Source organism: Homo sapiens, chromosome 7 (genome assembly GCF_000001405.40).
Source record: "Homo sapiens chromosome 7, GRCh38.p14 Primary Assembly".
In the NCBI taxonomy this organism is placed as follows: Eukaryota; Metazoa; Chordata; class Mammalia; order Primates; family Hominidae; genus Homo; species Homo sapiens.
The window spans coordinates 148,262,670-148,280,728 of NC_000007.14; the positions used below are offsets into that span (position 1 = coordinate 148,262,670).

Sequence of the window (18,059 nt, forward strand, 5' to 3'; positions counted from 1 at the left end):
AGGGAATCCAGGAGAATTCCCCTATTATCTTAATCACATCTGTAAAGCCCCTCTTGCCAAGGAAGGTGACGCGCTCTCAGGTCCTGAGAATTAGGATGTTATCTTTGGGAGGCATGATTCCGCCCACCATATCTCCATATTCAGACAAAATTGCAGAATGGTCTCGTGTCACATGGTCAGGTCCTGGAGAGCCCTGATCCGATGCTGCTGTTCTGAATTATGTTCGGCAGGGGGACAGCACCACCTGGTGGTAACACTCGGCAAAGCATCCGCCGTCAGCTGCAGAGCTGCTTTTCCTTTGGGGTCCTCTTGCTTTAACCCACCTTCCCCACAATCCCACTCATCCCTTCCGGCCACAGCCCGCCTTCTTAGACACAAGGCAGGCAGGAGTATGCGAGAGAGAAGACGTAAGGACGCCTTGCTCGTGGTAAGATCAGAGACTGATCGGAGAACGCTTTCCTCCTTCCCTCCTTTGAGAATTTCCTCAGGCACTGCAGCTTCACCTTTGTGAATGTTGAAGGCTTTCTGGATATCCTCGTCACTTCTCATATTTTCCTAACTGAGCAGGTAATTTGGATTAGAACTGTACAGCATGACCCATTTAGGTTCCTGTTCACTGTTTTGAAATTAATGACTTCATCAATGAGTTAAGGCTAGGAGTGTTCATTATGTTTTTTAGAAAAGTCAAAACCGAGCAGGATCACCGAGAAGCAAGATGACACAATCAACAATCAAAAACCTCTGAGTAGAGGCTATTACTGTGTTTCAAAACAAAATATATAAAAGTGGCCGGGTGCGGTGGCTCACGCCTGTAATCCCAGCACTTTGGGAGGCCGAGGTGGGCGGAACACAAGGTCAAGAGTTCGAGACCATCCTGGCCAACATAGTGAAACCCCGTCTCTACTAAAAATACAAAAATTAGCCGGGCGTGGTGGCGGGCGCCTGGAGTCCCAGCTACTAGGGAGGCTGAGGCAGGAGAATGGCGTGAACCCGGGAGGCGGAGCTTGCAGTGAACCGAGATGGTGCCTCTGCACTCCAGCCTGGGCGACAGAGCGAGACTCAGTCCCAAAAAAAAAAAAAAGAAAGAAAGAAAAGTTTATATAAATAAATGTAAAATTTAGCATTTTTGGTTAAAGCCATCAACCACGCAGACATAGGAAGGGAATACACTTATAGAGATCAACTAGGAATTTTATTTTACTGTAGCTCAGCAAAAATAATATAAAATGGCTGCCAAAAAGCCAAGGCCGTCTAGTCTGGATCTGCAGAAACAATTCAGGAAAAGGAAGGTACCTCCACTGTGTGGGTCATGCCAAACCTGAGGACGGATTTCCCTTCGGTGCTCGCGACTTTAAAAGTTGCATTAACAACTGTTAATGTCAATTATCAAGATCCCACCATGTATTGTATTGGGCTGTATTGGGCCTGAGGACACAGAAATGTAAAAACCTAAACATGGAAATTTAATCTTTAAAACTGTGTACTATGTATCCATAGAACGAAATACTAGTCATCCATGACAAATGATTTTTGTTGTATATTTATTGAGACAGAAGACATTCATAATATATCGTCAAGTTAAAAAATATACAAAACATAATATGTGTTAGTTGGGTTCCATCCCTTTTTACTTAAAAAGTTGAAAGAATATACATTAAAAGTTAACATTGACTATCAGCTGGCAGTTTTTTTCTGCAAATCTATATCATTTTTTCTATAACGAACGTATATTACTTGTATCCATTTTTAAAGCTAAGAAAATAGAATTTTGTTGTATTTTTATCGACACAGAGCGACATTCATAATATATCATCAAGTTAAAAAATATACAAAACAATGTGTTACTTGGGTTCCATCCCTTTTTTATTTAAAAAGTTGAAAGAAAATACATTAGAAATTAACATTTATTATTAGCAGGCAACTTTTTTTCCGGCAAATCTGTGTTTTTCTATAATGAACATATATTATTTGTATCCATTTTTAAAATTCTTTAAGAAAATAGAACTTTGTTACAAATTTAGTTTTTTGTTTTGTTTTTTTTGTTCTGAGATGGAATCTTGCTGTCACCAGGCTGGAGTGCAGTGGCGCGATCTCGGCTCACTGGAACCTCCACCTCCCAGGTTCAAGCCATTCCCATGCTACAATCTCCTGAGTAGCTGGGACTATAGGGGAGTGCCACCACACCCAGCTACTTTTTGTATTTTTAGTAGAGACAGGGTTTCATCATGTTGGCCAGGATGGTCTCGATCTCTTGATCTCATGATCCACCCACCTCGGCCTCCCAAAGTGTTGGGATTACAGGCGTAAGCCACTGCCCTGATCACAAATTTAGTTTTTAAATTGTAAGAAGTATGAGGTGGAGATTATCACCTCCTAAGGCATTGCCAGGTAGGCTATTGGTTAACAATGGCATTTTGCATTTAACCATTTAACAAAAGAGAGTAAGTAAACAGAAGTGCGGTGGCAGTTACCCATGGGTGTCATTAGATGGCAGCAAAGCAGCTAGCTAATATTTAAGAGCAGAAACTGAAGAGCTTTTGCTCCAAAGAAACATATATATGAGATTTTAAATATTTAAGATTATCTGAACGGAATAAGTGTTTTTGTTTGTTTGTTTGCTTCCAGACAGGGTCTCACTCTGTCACCTAGGCTGGAGCACAGTGGCATGACCACAGCTCACTGCAGGCTTGACCTCCTGGCCTCAAGCTATCCTCCCACCTCAGCCTCTCGAGTAGCTGTGACTACCGGTGCACACCACCACACCCAGCTACTTTTTAAAATTTTTATAGAGATAATGGTCTCACTATATTGCCCAGGCTGGTCTTGTACTCCTGGACTCGAGAGATCCACAAGCTTCAGCCTCCCAAAATGCTGGGATTACAGGCATGAGCCACCACACCTGGTTTGTTTTGTTAATGATGCATTTGACGTTATAGAAAACTTTTCAAAATGATAGCCAAGCATGCAAATGTTTACTTTAATAGTTTTTGGGGGTGGGGTGCTTTTGGATTTTTGTGGCAATACTACTCATGCACAAAAACCTACTGTACCAGTTCTGTGGGTCAAAAATCTAAAATGTTCTTGAGATGTGAGGACCCTTTGACTCTTAACCGTGACTGTGCAATGATCTCTAAGTTTCTAGGAAGCAGTTTCAAGATTCTGCTGCAGACAGTCATTAATAATGAATGACTATTCATCGTAGTATGATGTGGTGATGCCATTTGATCACTTGCCTGCCCTCTTTCTTCACTGCCACTCTCTCCTTCCTCCCAAGAGCACAGCTAGCTTCCAGCATCTTTGCTCATCTGAAGGACAGTTTTTTGCCTAATCAGGCCCAGTTTGAGCAAGGACTCTGGATCGTATCTGCTTCTGAGTCTGTGCTGCTGCCTTCAACAAGTTGCTGCTTGTTCTGTCTCCTTCCTCTACACAATTGACGTGGCCCCCATGGGAATGCCCATGTCGGAAAGCAATGCTGTGCTTTCTTATAACCCGCACCTCTCGTCATGCTGACCTTAGCACGTATTAAACTCACTTCAGAAAAATGAATGCTTACAAAAGAATGTTTTCCACCGGGGTGGGGGGCCCAAAAAAGGCCCAGAAAGCTCTAAGAGCTCACAGTTGGAGAAACACATCTAGACTGTATAGGTGGTAAAAAGACAGCTGAGAAGATAAGGCAGGAAAAGCCACACAGGGACACAAAGGGCAAGGCCAGTGATTCTGACACCACCATTGGCACTTTGTCCACGGGCAACAGGATCAGAAACGTGCGTCGCTTCCGTGGTTACTGTCTGTGCACCGTTCCCAACAGCTTCATTTCTCTCCCTCTGCTGCCAACTCGCCCAACCACCCCTGCCTGTGGCAGGAGAAATCATTCTCATTGGGATAACCGAGAAAACTACAACTGTTTACCCCACTTGACCCTCAGCATTTGAGTGTGTGTGTGTGTATGTGTGTGTGTGTGATCATGTCACAAAATAAAATGTTTCCGCAAAACTTCATTGCTGTAGATGTGGCATATTCCCTATCAGAGGCTGACACTGGAGATTGGATCAAGCAGATGTTACTCCATTAAAAAGAACATGGATCTTAATCCTGTAGGTAAATCATCCACAGAAAATGTACATCACCTGGAGAGCCGTTCATAAAGGATCTTCACTTACCATCCTCAGATTTTTTCAAAGAACCCCAGCAAAGGAAGACATGGGTTTCCATTTTCTCGGGGTGGTGTTTTAGAGTCAGTGCTGATGAAATAAGATATCAGAAAACCAGGGTTCAAAGAGTGATGTCATCCCCACAGGGAAGATTTGGTTCCACACAGGGTAGAGACGTGCTTCTAAAAGTGTCTCTTGTTTTCCTCCTGCAGCTCGATCATTATCCTTCTGTGAGTTACCATCTGCCAAGTTCATCCGACACCCTCTTCAATTCTCCCAAGTCGCTCTTTCTGGGAAAAGTTATAGGTAAGAATGTGGTTCGTTAGGTATAAATGCGTGCTACAAATACATTTGGGTAATGTGAGTTTGGATTTTAAAACTATCAGGTAAATTTCTCTTACTGGGGCCAGTCACGAATATCTTCTCTGTACAGGAAAGTTACGTGGTTGTTCTCGGTGTTGCACAAGCAAAGCGTCAACAAATTATCTTTGGGGGAAATTGCTCATGTAACTCATTCTAAAGCTAATTCGCCTTTGAAATACATTGTGATTAGGCTGGGCATGGTGGGTCACGCCTGTAATCCCAGCACTTTGGGAGGCTAAGGCTGGTGGATCACTTGAGGTCAGGAGTTCGAGACCAGCCTGGCCAACATGGCAAAACCCCGTCTCTACTAAAAATACAAAAATTAGCCATGCATGGTGGCAGGTGCCTGTAATCCCAGCTACTCGGGAGGCTGAGGCAGGAGAATTGCTTGAACCCCGGAGGTGGAGGTTGCAGTGAGCCAAGATCGTGCCACCACACTCCAGCCTGGGTGGCAGAGCGAGACTCTGTCTCAAAAAAAAAAAAAAAAAACAACCAAACAAACAAAAAACACATTGTGATTGGTAATGGGGGCTTCTAAGTCAGCGATGGTAATGGAACAAACGTTGTTTGGTGCGTGGCATAAACTACAACCCAAGCGAAGGCAAATCTGCTCCAGGCTTCTCTATGTAGAATTTGGTCTATTACAGACCTCTACCTACTAGCAATATGTAATTTAACGTTTCCTTTGTCAAAGCATATCAACATGATTCTATCTTCCTCTCACTCGTAAGAAAGCACCTTGATATTATTTGCAGATAAGAAGGCCAATAAGGAATTTGACAGTGTGACAGAACACCCTTCCCCATGTGCGACTGTGAATTCCAGAGTCTCCTTGTCCCTCTCTTCACCAGAGGAGATTAGCACTGTGCAAAGCTAAAAAATGTACCATGAGCCACAGATATGTGAAGATTACACCCTAAATTTTTAAAATATCGATATGATTGGTGAAGTATTTTAAAATATTTAATGTGAAGCCAATGAATTTTGTTCATATGAGGCTGTGTACTGTGAACTGCAATGAAAACAGTAAGATGGTGGTGATGTACAGGTGGGAGGGAGGTCACTCGGCGGCCAGTGTGTAGAAGTGATCAGAATAGCATTAATGGTAAAAATGCTCACTTAAAAACATGCGGCAGGGGTCACAAAATGAGGAGTGAGTAGGAGACTGAACCTATAATAAAAATAATAGACTGGGCGTGGCGGCTCATGTCTGTAATCCCAGCACTTTGGGAGGCTGAGGCAGGCAGATCACGAGGTCAGGAGATCAAGACCATCCTGGCTAACACGGTGAAACCCCGTCTCTACAAAAAAATTTAAAAAAATTAGACGGGCGTGGTGGTGGGCGTCTGTAGTCCCAGCTACTTGGGAGGCTGAGGCAGGAGAATGGCGTGAACCCGGGAGGCGGAGCTTACAGTGAGCCGAGATCACGCCACTGCACCCCAGCCTGGGCGACAGAGGGAGACTCTGTCTTAATAATAATAATAATAATAATAATGTGCACTTATGTAAGATTTACTGTAGGCCAGGCTCCAGTTTAAGCACTTGACAGATATTAGCCCATTCAATCTTCGTCACAATTGTATGAGGTAGTTAAGATTATGATCTCCACTTTTTAGATGAGAAAACTGAACCATGAAGAGATTAAATAACCGGGCCACCTGGCTAATCAGTGGCAGAACCAAAATTTGAACTCAGGCAATCAGACACCAAGGGAGCTCTTTACTGTGCTGTAATCCCTGTGGCAGTTAATCTAGAATGCAAAGAGAAAGACAGAGAGGAAAGATTGGGCAGGTGATAAATGCTGAGGCTGTCCAGGTAAGGGATAAAGCCTATATCTTGTGCCAGGAAGTGGTCAAGAACAAAAAGGATTCCTGGGTTTAGAACCAGGAACACACCAGTCCGGCTGGAGAGGGAGGCATCCAGAAGAGAGGGGGAAAGCAGGTGTGTGCATGAAGCCCAAGACCACACACCTGGTGAACAAGACAGTGGGGAGTGGCAAGTGATAAATCAAAGGGTGGAACTGGAAAACAAAAGAGGGCTAACATGTATTGATCACTGAGCCTTAGATATTGTACGATATGAAAGATAATTAAATAGCTTCTGCTTAATCCTTTGCATCCTGAAAACAGCACTCAGGCACAGTCTCAAATCTAGCTTTGGATTACCTCACCCTGATGTCCTTATCTGAATTTTCTCCAACACTTTCTATAGTTGATGTATTTTTACAGATCTTATCACCACTTTTATGTTCTGTGAACAAGAAGAGACTTTGTGACATCACATGTTACACGTGTAAATATAAGAAACAAACGTCACAACAATCCAATGAAATGAGATCCCTGATTATGAACCTCATTTTGCAGATGAGAAAACTGAAGCAGAAGAAGGTCAATTTGACAAAAGTTACTCAACTAATACTGGCAAAGCAGAGTTTGGAAGCGAGGTCTCTCTGAAGACAGTCCAGACTCTTAAGTGGGTCAAACAATCTTGTCATTCATGGTGAAGCTCCAGAAGAGGGATGTATTTGAAAGTTGAGCGATGCCATCAGTTAGCAACAAAAAGTGGCTGTTTAGTGGAGTAGGGCCTTGGCATTCATGAGTCATGGATCTGAGACTTTGGTGAGTACCCGCTTTCTACCAGAGGTACTCCCACGGTTCAGTTGAGAATACTTTAAAATGTTAAGTGCTCCTTCAGAACCATATGATTCCATCAAAACAAACGCTACACTATGATATGGTGATGTTCCTAAAGATACTACACTATGATATTCGTAAAGTAACATCAACTATAAACATACCCGAAAATAATAGACTTTTTATTACTTTGTGGAACCTGCAAAGTCAAATTTTGATGGGAATGTTGGATGATTTCTAGGTTCTGTCACTATGAGTAATATTCTCTGGTTCCTCTGTTTTCCAGGTCATGTAACTAGTTCACATTTCAGCACAATTCCAATATACTGTATGGCATGGACCTTCAAGGTCGTGAACAAATAACATCATAAAGGCCACATTTTCTACAACTAAGAATGTACCTTGACATCAATCTGTGCAAAGCTAAAAGTGTACCATGAGCCTCAGATACATGAAGGTTACACCCTGTATTTTTTGTACACCCAAGAAAAATGTTGCTGCATACACAAACTAGGTAACTGTGCATGTGGCAGTGAGTTACAGAAAGTACACATAAATACCTGTAAGGAGGTCCACAATTCCAAGATGGAAATGGTGTTATGCAGGTGAGAGTAGTTAGGGCTCCAGCAATGGGTCCTTGGTGCACTGACTTCTAGTGGAGATTATCTCTCATCCCTACAAGCCTGTGACCTCCCTGCAGACCAAGAAAGCATCTCATAGTTCCACCATATACTAACAAGGAGCAAGTGCTCAATAAATATTTGTTGAATTAATAAAGAGTAAAAGGGGAAGGAAACAGAAAGATATCATTGTAGACGTATACTGCAGGGTGAAAGGGTATGGATGATCATCCTAACAGAATCAGTAAGATTCGCACAGAGGTGAGAGCTGCAATCCTCACATATCTCACAGCCTAAAAGTAGGCATCTGACGATCATGAAGTAGAAAGAATGTGGACTTCGGAATCAGGCAGAGCTTGTTAGACTGGAATCCAGTTCTACCTCTGTTAGCATTGAAATCTTGACCATGTTGCTTTCTTAGTTGAACCTCTCAGAGCCTAGGTTCTCTCCTTTGCAAAATGGGGAACACAAATGCCTACTTGCAGGTTGTTAACTCCCTGAGGGCAGAAGGCAGAGACTTTTTTTGAAACTAATCTATTTACAGCAGGCTGATCAGTGCCTAGTATACAGAAAGGGCTCAAAAAATACTTGTGGAGTAAATGAACTACTCTTTTAATATTAAGCTAATAACGTCTTAAGACATACACAACACAATGCCTAATACATAAATAATTACCATTTTTGATGCTAGCTACATGCCGGTTATTATGCTATATGCTGTAAGTACAATACTGTCTGCGTTTCTCACAACACCACAGACCATTGTTACCCTCGTTGTATAGAATAAGGAGCTAAGGCTCAAAACTATTAAGTTTTCTTCTTAAAGTGGGGTTTCCCAACAGCAGAACTATTGACATTTTGGATCAGAAAATTCTTTATTATGGGGCTGTCTTGTTCATTGCAGAATGTTTAGCATTCTCCCTGGCCTTTACCCACTAGATATAAGTAGCACCCCAAGTTGTGACAACCAAAAATGTCTTCTAACATTGCTAAATGTTCCCCAGGAGGGAAAAATTACCACCCCAGTTGAAAACCACAGGCTTCAAGCTACTCAGCGAGTCAGCGGTGACGCTGAGATTTGAAAAGCGTGATTTGTGACCTAAGACCTATGCTTTGCTTCCTGATGACACCTGCACCTTCCAGAATGGTGAGGAAGCAAGGACGAGGTTCTTGCTACTCTGAAGCTAAAATTCTGTTAATAAAATTGAAGGAGTCTCAGTGAAGACCCCAAGAAGACATGTAAGTGCTTGAGAAGCTAATCACTGGCCACCCCTTCAAGCCAATACTCCTTTGATATTTGATCATTTCACAGGGGCAGGAATATGCTTAAATGTCTCTTTGAAAACAACATATACTTCAGTGAGAGACAACCCATTTGCATTCCCCAGTTGTGTAAAAATCCATCTGTACAGACATACAGTATTGAACTTGCAACTGATATGTACTCCGGCCAGGTTTTGAAACCCCCTGGAGTTTCATGCTCCAAAGTTGTTGCTTTACTTTTATAGGATCAGTTTCTGCTACTCAGAAACTGATTCTATAAAAGAAAGAGAAGAAGATGGCTCTAAATACCTAAAATGACTTCACACTGAGCTCTTTGATGAGCACTCCTCAAAAAGGGACACAGAAAAAGGATGAAAGAAAGGCTACCTAATCAAGGACAAGTGTGATCTTTATAAAGGGGATGGAGGATATATATTCAAGAAATAGTAGTGTGATCACTGCCAACCAACAGCAAACTTTTAGAACGGATTCTTACATAATTCTGAATGCTTCTAGAAGGAATTCAGAATCACTAGCAATCAGCAAAGGTTCACAAAGGAGAAATCTCACTAGACATAGTTATGTCCATCTTTCATCCCTCATATCCATCCATCTTTTACCAGCCGAGTGATGTCATAGACTTTATCTTTCAGCAACAAATTTAATGGTCTCTCAAGAAATCTTCAAGGAAGAGAAATATAACTTGAAGCCGAAAGTGGGGTGTTCTGTTTGCTCATGTCCTTTTCAACATCTCTATTAATGCCTTGGAGAAAGACACAAGTAGCATGTTTATTAAGTTTGCAAATGTCACGAAGCTGAGAGGGATGGTTTAATATGATGGATTATAAAAAGCATTTCAAAACCATCTTGACAGGCTAGAAAGATGGGATAAAAATAATAAGATGAAATGTAATAGAAATAAACTTAATTGCAGCACTTAGATAAAAAAAATATATACAATCACCTAAATAGAAGATGGGAGACCCCCAGCATCATGAAAAAACTTAGGAAATTGGTTTGATGGAAAGTCTGGTACAAGCAATGTTACATGGTGATGGATTCTTAAATGAATGTGATTCTGAGCCACACTAGTATGAGAATCATGTCCAGAGCGAGGGTATTAGTCATCTGAGGAGAAAACCAGATAAACACAAGACCCGTAAAGGAAATGTCAGAAGACCTGGGAATGTCTGATCAGAAAAAAATATGATTTGAGAGACGAGAGAATCAATTTTCAGTCTTTGGTAACTGCCACATGCAGGGTGGATTAGACTTAGTTGAGGCTTACTCAGCAAGACTGACATGGACCAAAAGCAGAAGATATGAAGAGGAAAATCTCAGCTCCATATAAGAAAGAACTTCCTAACAATTAGAGCTTTTCAAAAGTGAGTGGTCTCTACTTTGAGGTAATGAACTCTCTATTATTGAGAATATTCAACAAAGGCTAAACGGAAATGTGCCCTGTATATTAAGGAGTTGTCTGGATTGAGTAAAACCAGATTAGATATAGCCTAAATAAACTTTGAAACTTTAAGATTTGTGGTGGGAGTAATTTTCTTAATTAAAAAGGTGAAAATGCAATATTATAGTAGAGCAGGGTCTCCTGTTCCATTGGCAACTAGGGGGATAACATTTAGGGTTCCTTGATATAAAACACTGTTATGATGCATGATGATAGATATGAATTTAGAAGAATATCAATGTACAGCGATCACCACATCACTGTGAGTTGTGTAATTACATACACGACCTGTTTCCAAGGTGGCAATATGCATTTTAATTTTATTTCTGAGCCCTCTTTAATTAATCGTTTTTCAAATTAACTATTTCTGCCATCGCTGTAAATCAGAGTAATATAAAACCGTAATGAAGTAGATCTATTCTGAAATAAAAAGACGGTAGCTTCTCTGTGTAAACTTGAGAAGCTGTGCTTAGAAAGAAGCTGAATACTAATGCAGTGTCGTTGTTGCTTGGCTGATCATTGCTGTTGTCAGTGGCGATGTCTGGGGTGGTAAAAATAAAGCGAACTTCTATCCATTTGAACTAACTAGAGTTTGTAAGTCATATTGGTCTCAGATCCTCATATTTCCCAAACTACCATTATCCAAAGCAATTCCAATAGAAGTGGCTAGTAGCCCCTATATTATTTCTATTATAATCTAAATTGTGAATATCATGATCCTACACGACTTTTTATTGATTAAAAAGTCTTATTCTAAGGCTTTCTAAAACTTTCTGGAGCTTTGGCAAAGCCTCTTCACACAGAAGGAACTGACATACTTAGATCTTCATTTGTTGGTGAAATCATATACTGTGATAACCATGCTGCTCACAGAATATTTCTGGCCAGAGTTATGAATGGAAAAGATTTGTGTGATTTCCAGGCTAGAACATTTAAGTGCTCATGCAAGACCCTCTAGAGTCCTTTTATCCCTTTGGCATGGTGACTGACAAGCCTAAGACAGTGATTTTTTCCGTAAGCCTGGGTCCCTCTGTGACTACAGTGAACAGAAAACTCTTGACTTGTGATGAACATATAGCATGAGATAAAAAAAACTCCTTGCTTTGTTAAGCCACCGAGACTATAGGGCTGTTTGTTACTGTGGCAGAGCCTTGGCCTGTCCTGACTGAGGCATAAGGACTGACTTAAGGGCAGACTTTGCTCTCGCACCCTTGGGTTTGATCTCTGATATAGTTTGGATATTTGTCCCCACCAAAATCTCATGTTGAAATGTAATCCCCAGTGTTGGAGGTGGGGCCTGGTGGGAGGTGTTTGGATCATGGTGGTGGAAGCCTCATGAATGGCTTGGGCCATCTCCTTGGTGATAAGTGAGCTCTCACTCTGAGTTCACACAAAACCTGGATGTTTAAGTATGTAGCACCTCCCCCCAACACTCTTCCTCTGGATCCTGCTTTTGCCATGTACCCTGCCTGCTCCACCTTCACCTTCTGCCATAATCATAAGCTTCCTGAGGCCTCCCCAGAAGCAGATGCCAGTGCTGTGCCTCCTATAAAGCCTGCAGAACTGTGAGCCAATTAAACCTCTTTCCTTATAAATTACCCAGTCTCAGATGTTTCTTTATAGCAGTGCAAGAACAGCCTAATACAATCTCTTACTCTACCATTTGCCGATTGTATGACTTTGTCGGGTTACTTAACATTGTGTGTATCTGTTTTGTCATGTGTAAAATAGGAATAGTAATGGTCTCTGTGTCACGGGATTCAGCAAAATAATACATGTTTAGCGGTTAGCACAGTCTCTGCTGCATAGTATGTGTGTAATACATATTAGTTTTTTACTTTGCATAATCAGCAAATGTATACTCATCATATGTCAGATGCCAGGCATTGTATAAGTCCCTGGAACATCATTAGGGTCCAAGACAGGCACAGTTTCTGCCTTTGGAAACTTTATATATTCAAATCCAGTTCTCAGAGGTTTCTCTTGGGAGAACCCAAAGCAAGATAGGGGATCATACAATGTATCAATATGCACTGGGTCACATCTTTAGAGCTTCAGTTTCTGGAAAAGAAGGTAATGGAAAGTCAATTAGAAGTAAAAAGACAAGAGGGTGGGATAAATGAAAAGAAGTATAGAATTCTTTGGGAGCAAGTAGGGAGGGCACTTGAGCCAGTCCAGGAGTGAGGGAAGGCATACTAGAGGAAGTAACACAGAAGCTGGGACCCTAATGAAGAGTTAGAATGATCTGGGTAAAGCAATGGGCTGAAGTAGAGGCCATAAGGGCGGGGGAGGTCAGTTCTCCATTCTGCACAGCAGTCCACCCAAAACTGTGTGGCTCAAAACAGTAGTTTATTATTTCTGGCAATTCTGTGGATTGGCAGGGTGGTTGTTCTGCTTCATGACTCCAGGCAGGGTGTAAGAATGACTGGATAGCCCGAAATAGCCTCATTCATGTGGCTGGCAGCAAGTGCTGGCTGCCCAGGAGCTCTTTGGGGCCACGAGCCAGGGGCTGAGTTCTCCCCCAAGGGTTCCAAATCATGGCTGCTTGGGCTACCTCATGGCATGGTGGCTGGGCTCCAAGAAGGAGCTTTCCAAACAGCAAATGTAGAAGCTGAAGGTCTCTAAGAGCCACCATTCTTGCCATATGCTATTGACCAAAATCTGGGTTCCAGCCCATGTTCCAAGAGAGAGGAAGCAGACCCTACCTCTTGGTGGCATCGTAGCCAGGTCACATTGCAAAGAAACATGCCATGGGAGTTACGGTTGTGACATCTTTGGAAACACAGTGTGCTATGAGAGAAATTTGAGGAACCACAAGTTGCATTCAGAATGGTGGAAAGTCGGATGTGAAGATGCAAGTGATAAAAATGCTGCAGCATAAGCAGGGTTCAGATCAAAGGCGGCTTTACCAGCAGGGCCACATGTCCTGCTTTGCCTGGGACAGACCCAAGCTACTCCTGCCAGGACAAGAGTACATTATTAGCAGTGCCCACTTTTACTCTAAAAATAGGACTACGCAGTTGTATGATCACCTATCTTATTTGGGTGTTCCCAGGAGAAACCCTGCAGAATTCGATTTGAATATAAGAAGTTTACCTGGGAGACAATCCCATAAAACAAGCAGGAAAGTAGAGACATGAAACAGGGAAAGGGATGGAGCATTATCAAGCCACTCACCACTGTGGGCACCTGGAACATAATCCCACCAGGACACTCTGGAAGACAGTGCGAGACATGCCTCCGAGTGTCCCAACCAAGGCAGGAGGAAGCCAGGGCATCTCGCCACCTCCTCCCATCCTGCAGTGATGAGGGCTGCTTCCTGCGGTACTAACTCCCCAGCACTTCCAGCTTGTCCCGTGTTTACACCCAACACACTGCTGAGGCCAGAGGAAAGTGCAGATGACAGCGAATCGCAGTCAGTGGTTCCTGGAGCAGGACTGAGGTGAATGCCGGGCACTGACAGCATCTGCCATATTACGGATCTATTTATAAGCCATGTTAAGGTTTTAATGTTATCTTAGGGGTTAAAGGAAGTCAAGGAAGGATGTTTTTTAATCCATAGAATAACGTGATCAGATTGACACTTTAGCCAGATAATACCATCTGCAGAGTGCAAAATGCATAACAGGAAGTGAGAAGCTGCAGGGAGACCAAATTGGAGGTTGCCATGGTTATCACAGAATTGCACATTGTAATGCACAAAGCAGCTCACATATGTGGAGAAAATGCAATGTCTTTATCTGTGTCTGATGATGTCGTATTCCTTCTGGGTAGCAAAGGCAAATAAGCTAAACATCCAGGCTGGTTTAAAGCTGATTCTGACTTAATCATTTCAAAATTCCTTCCTGGTTGTGCTCTGTCCCTCATGAATAAAAATGTTCAGTTTCTCGAAGAGCCTTTCCCGTCCTCTGCTTCTTTCTATAAGGTGGGGACCAGGTGTACAGAATATAAAAGGAGACAGGCAGCAACATGTCTAGCTTTAGCATTCTAATGATACCGTGGGCAGGGAGAGACCTGGATGCATGCTGGTCCTTGAGTTTGCATGGCCAGGCATCTGCTGGCCTCCAGCCCAGTGTCCTGTGTCCCTGAGTGCTCTTCTGGCCTTGGAGCTTAAATCTGTGGTTGATGAACTTAGAGTCCCTTTCTTTGACTCAGGCAGTGTTCCCAGGGAGCACCTGCCATCCTGCCCTTTGCTTACTTGCTGTGCCCTCAATCTCCCACTTGAGAGACCCCTAAGCCCTAAGTCTCTTTCGCATCCTCCGTCTCCCCATGGCAGGTTGTCGTCAGCTATCAAGCAGTGAGGGCTTTCATCTAAGGCTTCATGCTGCACGAGAATGAGATGATGCACGTGAGGACCAGAGACCCTGTCGGCTTACTCTTCTTCCCTCTCTACATGAGGCTTGGCTGCCCCATGTTAGTACAGGACCGCCCCCCACCACCACCGACCCCCTACACAGCAACCTCTCCCCAGAGCCCCAGACTGGGAAGCAAGGCAAGAGCCCTAAACCCTTGGTCCCATCCGTCATCCTTTAGAAACCCACTTCTGCTCTCTGGGCCAAAGCTTAGCTCTCGTCTCTCCTGCTGTATCTCCTCCTTTTCTCATAGTCTTCTAGGGCATTAAGAAAGAAAAAAGAAAAAAAGAAAAAAAGCTTTGCTTTTACTTCCTACAAAAAAAAAAAGCACCATCTAACAAATAGCTCCAAAACTCAATTGCTTAAAACAACAATTCTATTTTTATCACTAATCTGCGGGTCAGCTAAGGGCCGAAGTTTCTCTTGTACACCTCTCGTCTTCCTCCTGGGACCAGGGAGTTAGCATGGGCATGTTTTTCTCTGGCAGAGACACGAGAGAACAAGCCACTCACACAAGCACTTTCCAGGCCTTTGGTCTTGTCACATCCACTAACATCTGATTATCTAAACTAAGTCATGTGGCCAAATCCATAGTCGAGGAGAAGAGAAACTTGCTTTCCCTTCAGTGAAGAAAACAGCAAAGTCACATGGCAAAGGCCACGGATACAGGGAAGGGTAAAGAATTAGGGGCCGCCAATGCCATCTTCCATACTTAGGAGGTGGATGCAGGAGAACTCTGTGACCTCCTCGATGTACTAAAAAGCCTGAGTAGGCCCGGCTCGGTGGCTCACGCCTGTAATCCCAGCACTTTGGAAAGCCGAGGCAGGCAGATCACGAGGTCAGGAGATTGTGACCATCCTGGCTAACATGGCGAAACCCTGTCGCTACTAAAAAATACAAAAAAAAATTAGCCGGGCGTGGTGGTGGTCACCTGTAGTCCCAGCTACTCGGGAGGCTGAGGCAGGAGAATGGCGTGAACCCAGGAGGTGGAGCTTGCAGTAAGCCGAGATCGCGCCACTGCACTCCAGCCTGGGCAACAGAGTGAGACTACATCTCAAAAAAAAAAAAAAAAAAAGCCTGAGCAAAGGAACTTGGGGAAATCATTTTATTCACTCAAAAGTATGTTCAGTGCTCACATGTACCAGGTGCTAGGCACAGAACAATGGATAAAACAGAAATCTCTTATCTTTATGAACCATGTACTCTCATGAGCATAGACAGAATGAGAAAAGAGTTGTGTAATATAAATGTTAGCAATAAGTGCTATGAAGAAAAGTAAAAGAGGCTTAGCAGGAAAGCATGTTACAATGGCCAGGAAAGTCGTCTTTGAGAAGGCAATATTTAAGCAGTGGCCTTAACAAAGTGAGAAAGCTGGCTGTGTGGACATCTGCTGGAAAAGCCTTCCAGGAAGAGAGAATGGCAGTCCAAAGGCTGTGAGGTAGGGACACGCCTGGCTTGTTCAAGGACAGGAAGAAAACCAACATGGCTGGAATACAGCCATCAAGGGACAGAGTGGCAGGAGACAGATGAAGTCAGAGGGTTAGCCAGCAGCCAATTGCACAGATGGAGACCATCATGGAGAGTCTGCATTTTATTCTAAATGAGATGAGAAACAGTAGAAGGTTTTGAGCACATAAGTAACACAATCCAATTTACATATTAGAAAGGTCATTCCAGCTGTGGGATGCTGTATTAACTGCAGAAGGGGTGGGCTGATATAGGGGCAGGATGGACACTAAGAGACCATTTCAAATACAGTTGTGGAGTCCATGTGAGAGTTAGAGGCACGTGCACCAACGCAACAGCAGTGATGGTGATGGAGAAATCTTTGGACTAGGAACACACTGAAGTCAGAGCCCATAGTATTTGGTGATCAACCGGATGTGGTGGGTGAGAGAAAGAGAAGTCAAAGAGCGTTTCCCAAGGTATTGGCCTGAATAGCTGGCCCAGTGGTGGGGCTGCCTACTACAATGAGGTACCCTGGGAGAGAAGTAGTTTAGGAACTGTGGAATAAAAATTAAGACTTCCATTCTAGCCACATTCAAGGCTATTCCATGGATGCATAGCACTGAGGTGCATATCAGAAACCGAACACCACCTGTAACACGGCCTTTTCCTGTCTTTATCTCCCATCTCCTCCTCAGGCAGATAGATGTCTTGGCTTGACTAGGACATTGATCGTTACTGGGAAAGGCAAAAAAGAAAAAAGCCTATTGATAAATGTCAGAATATATCTCCATTATAAAGTCATTCAGGTGTTGCATATGAACGCAATGATGAAGAAGAACAAATTACTGATACACAAAACAGCTTGGATGAATCTCTAGAGAATCGTGCCAATGGAAAAAAAGCCAGTCCCAAAAGGTTACATACCCAATGATCCCATTTATGCAACATTTTTGAAATGACAAAATTTTACAATTGAGGACAGATTAGTGAGTGCCAAGGGTTAGTGACTAGGACAGGAGGGAAGGGGAAGGAAGAGAGGTGTGGTTAGAAAAGGAAAACAAGGAGGCCGGGCATGGTGGCTGACTCCTGCAATCTCAGCACTTTGGGAGGCTGAGGCAGGAAGATCACTTGAGGTCAGGAGTTCGAGACCAGCCTGGCCAACATGGTGAAATCTGTCTCTACTAAAAATATAAAAATTAGCCAGGCATGGTGGCCCATGCCTGTAGTCCCAGCTACTCGGGAGGCTGAGGCAGGAGAATTGCTTGAGCCCGGGAGACAGAGAAGTTGCAGTGAGCCAAGATCATGCTACTGTACTGCATCTAGGTGACAGAGCTAGACTCCATCTCAAAAATTTAAAAATAAAAAAGAGAGATTCTTCTGCAGTGGGAATTATTCATTATCCTGACTATGGTGGTGGATGCACAGACCTACACAGATGATAAAATTGTGCAGAATCACATTTGCACACATACAAGAGTACAAAATCTGAAATAAGATCATTGGATCATATCAATGTTAATATCCTGATGGTGACACTGTACTCCTGATTTGCAAAATGTCTCCAATGGGGAAACTGGGCAAAATACACAGGGGATCTCTCTGTACAATTTCTTACAACTACATGTGATTCTACAATGGACTCAATTAAAGTTTCAATTAGAAAAAGCAATAAAAAGCCGGGCACGGTGGCTCATGCTTGTAATCCCAGCACTTTGGAAGGCTGAGGCAGGTGGATCGCCTCAGGTCAGGAGTTTCAGACCAGCCTA

The 18,059-nt window shown here is 43.0% G+C and overlaps 1 protein-coding gene across 1 annotated transcript in view, besides 2 other annotated features; it reads left to right on the plus strand.

The window, feature by feature from the left end:
* Positions 1-18,059, plus strand: part of CNTNAP2 (contactin associated protein 2) — a 2,304,198-nt gene that overhangs the window by 2,145,869 nt on the left and 140,270 nt on the right. Inside the window, exon 21 of the mRNA NM_014141.6 lies at positions 4,364-4,457. Within this exon, the coding sequence (NP_054860.1) occupies positions 4,364-4,457 (94 nt within the window). The remainder of the gene's footprint in view (positions 1-4,363; positions 4,458-18,059) is intronic.
* Positions 128-422: a silencer, noted in NCBI's record as "tiled region #9018; K562 Repressive DNase unmatched - State 4:PromP". NCBI's record gives its function as "represses a minimal TATA promoter and a strong SV40 promoter by Sharpr-MPRA in K562 cells {active_cell/tissue: K562}" and the evidence as "EXISTENCE:reporter gene assay evidence [ECO:0000049][PMID:27701403]".
* Positions 17,442-17,642: a silencer, noted in NCBI's record as "fragment chr7:147977203-147977403 (GRCh37/hg19 assembly coordinates)". NCBI's record gives its function as "represses an EF-1alpha promoter that drives an FKBP-Casp9 reporter gene in an ReSE screen in phorbol 12-myristate 13-acetate-treated (for megakaryocytic differentiation) K562 erythroleukemia cells {active_cell/tissue: K562(+PMA)}" and the evidence as "EXISTENCE:reporter gene assay evidence [ECO:0000049][PMID:32094911]".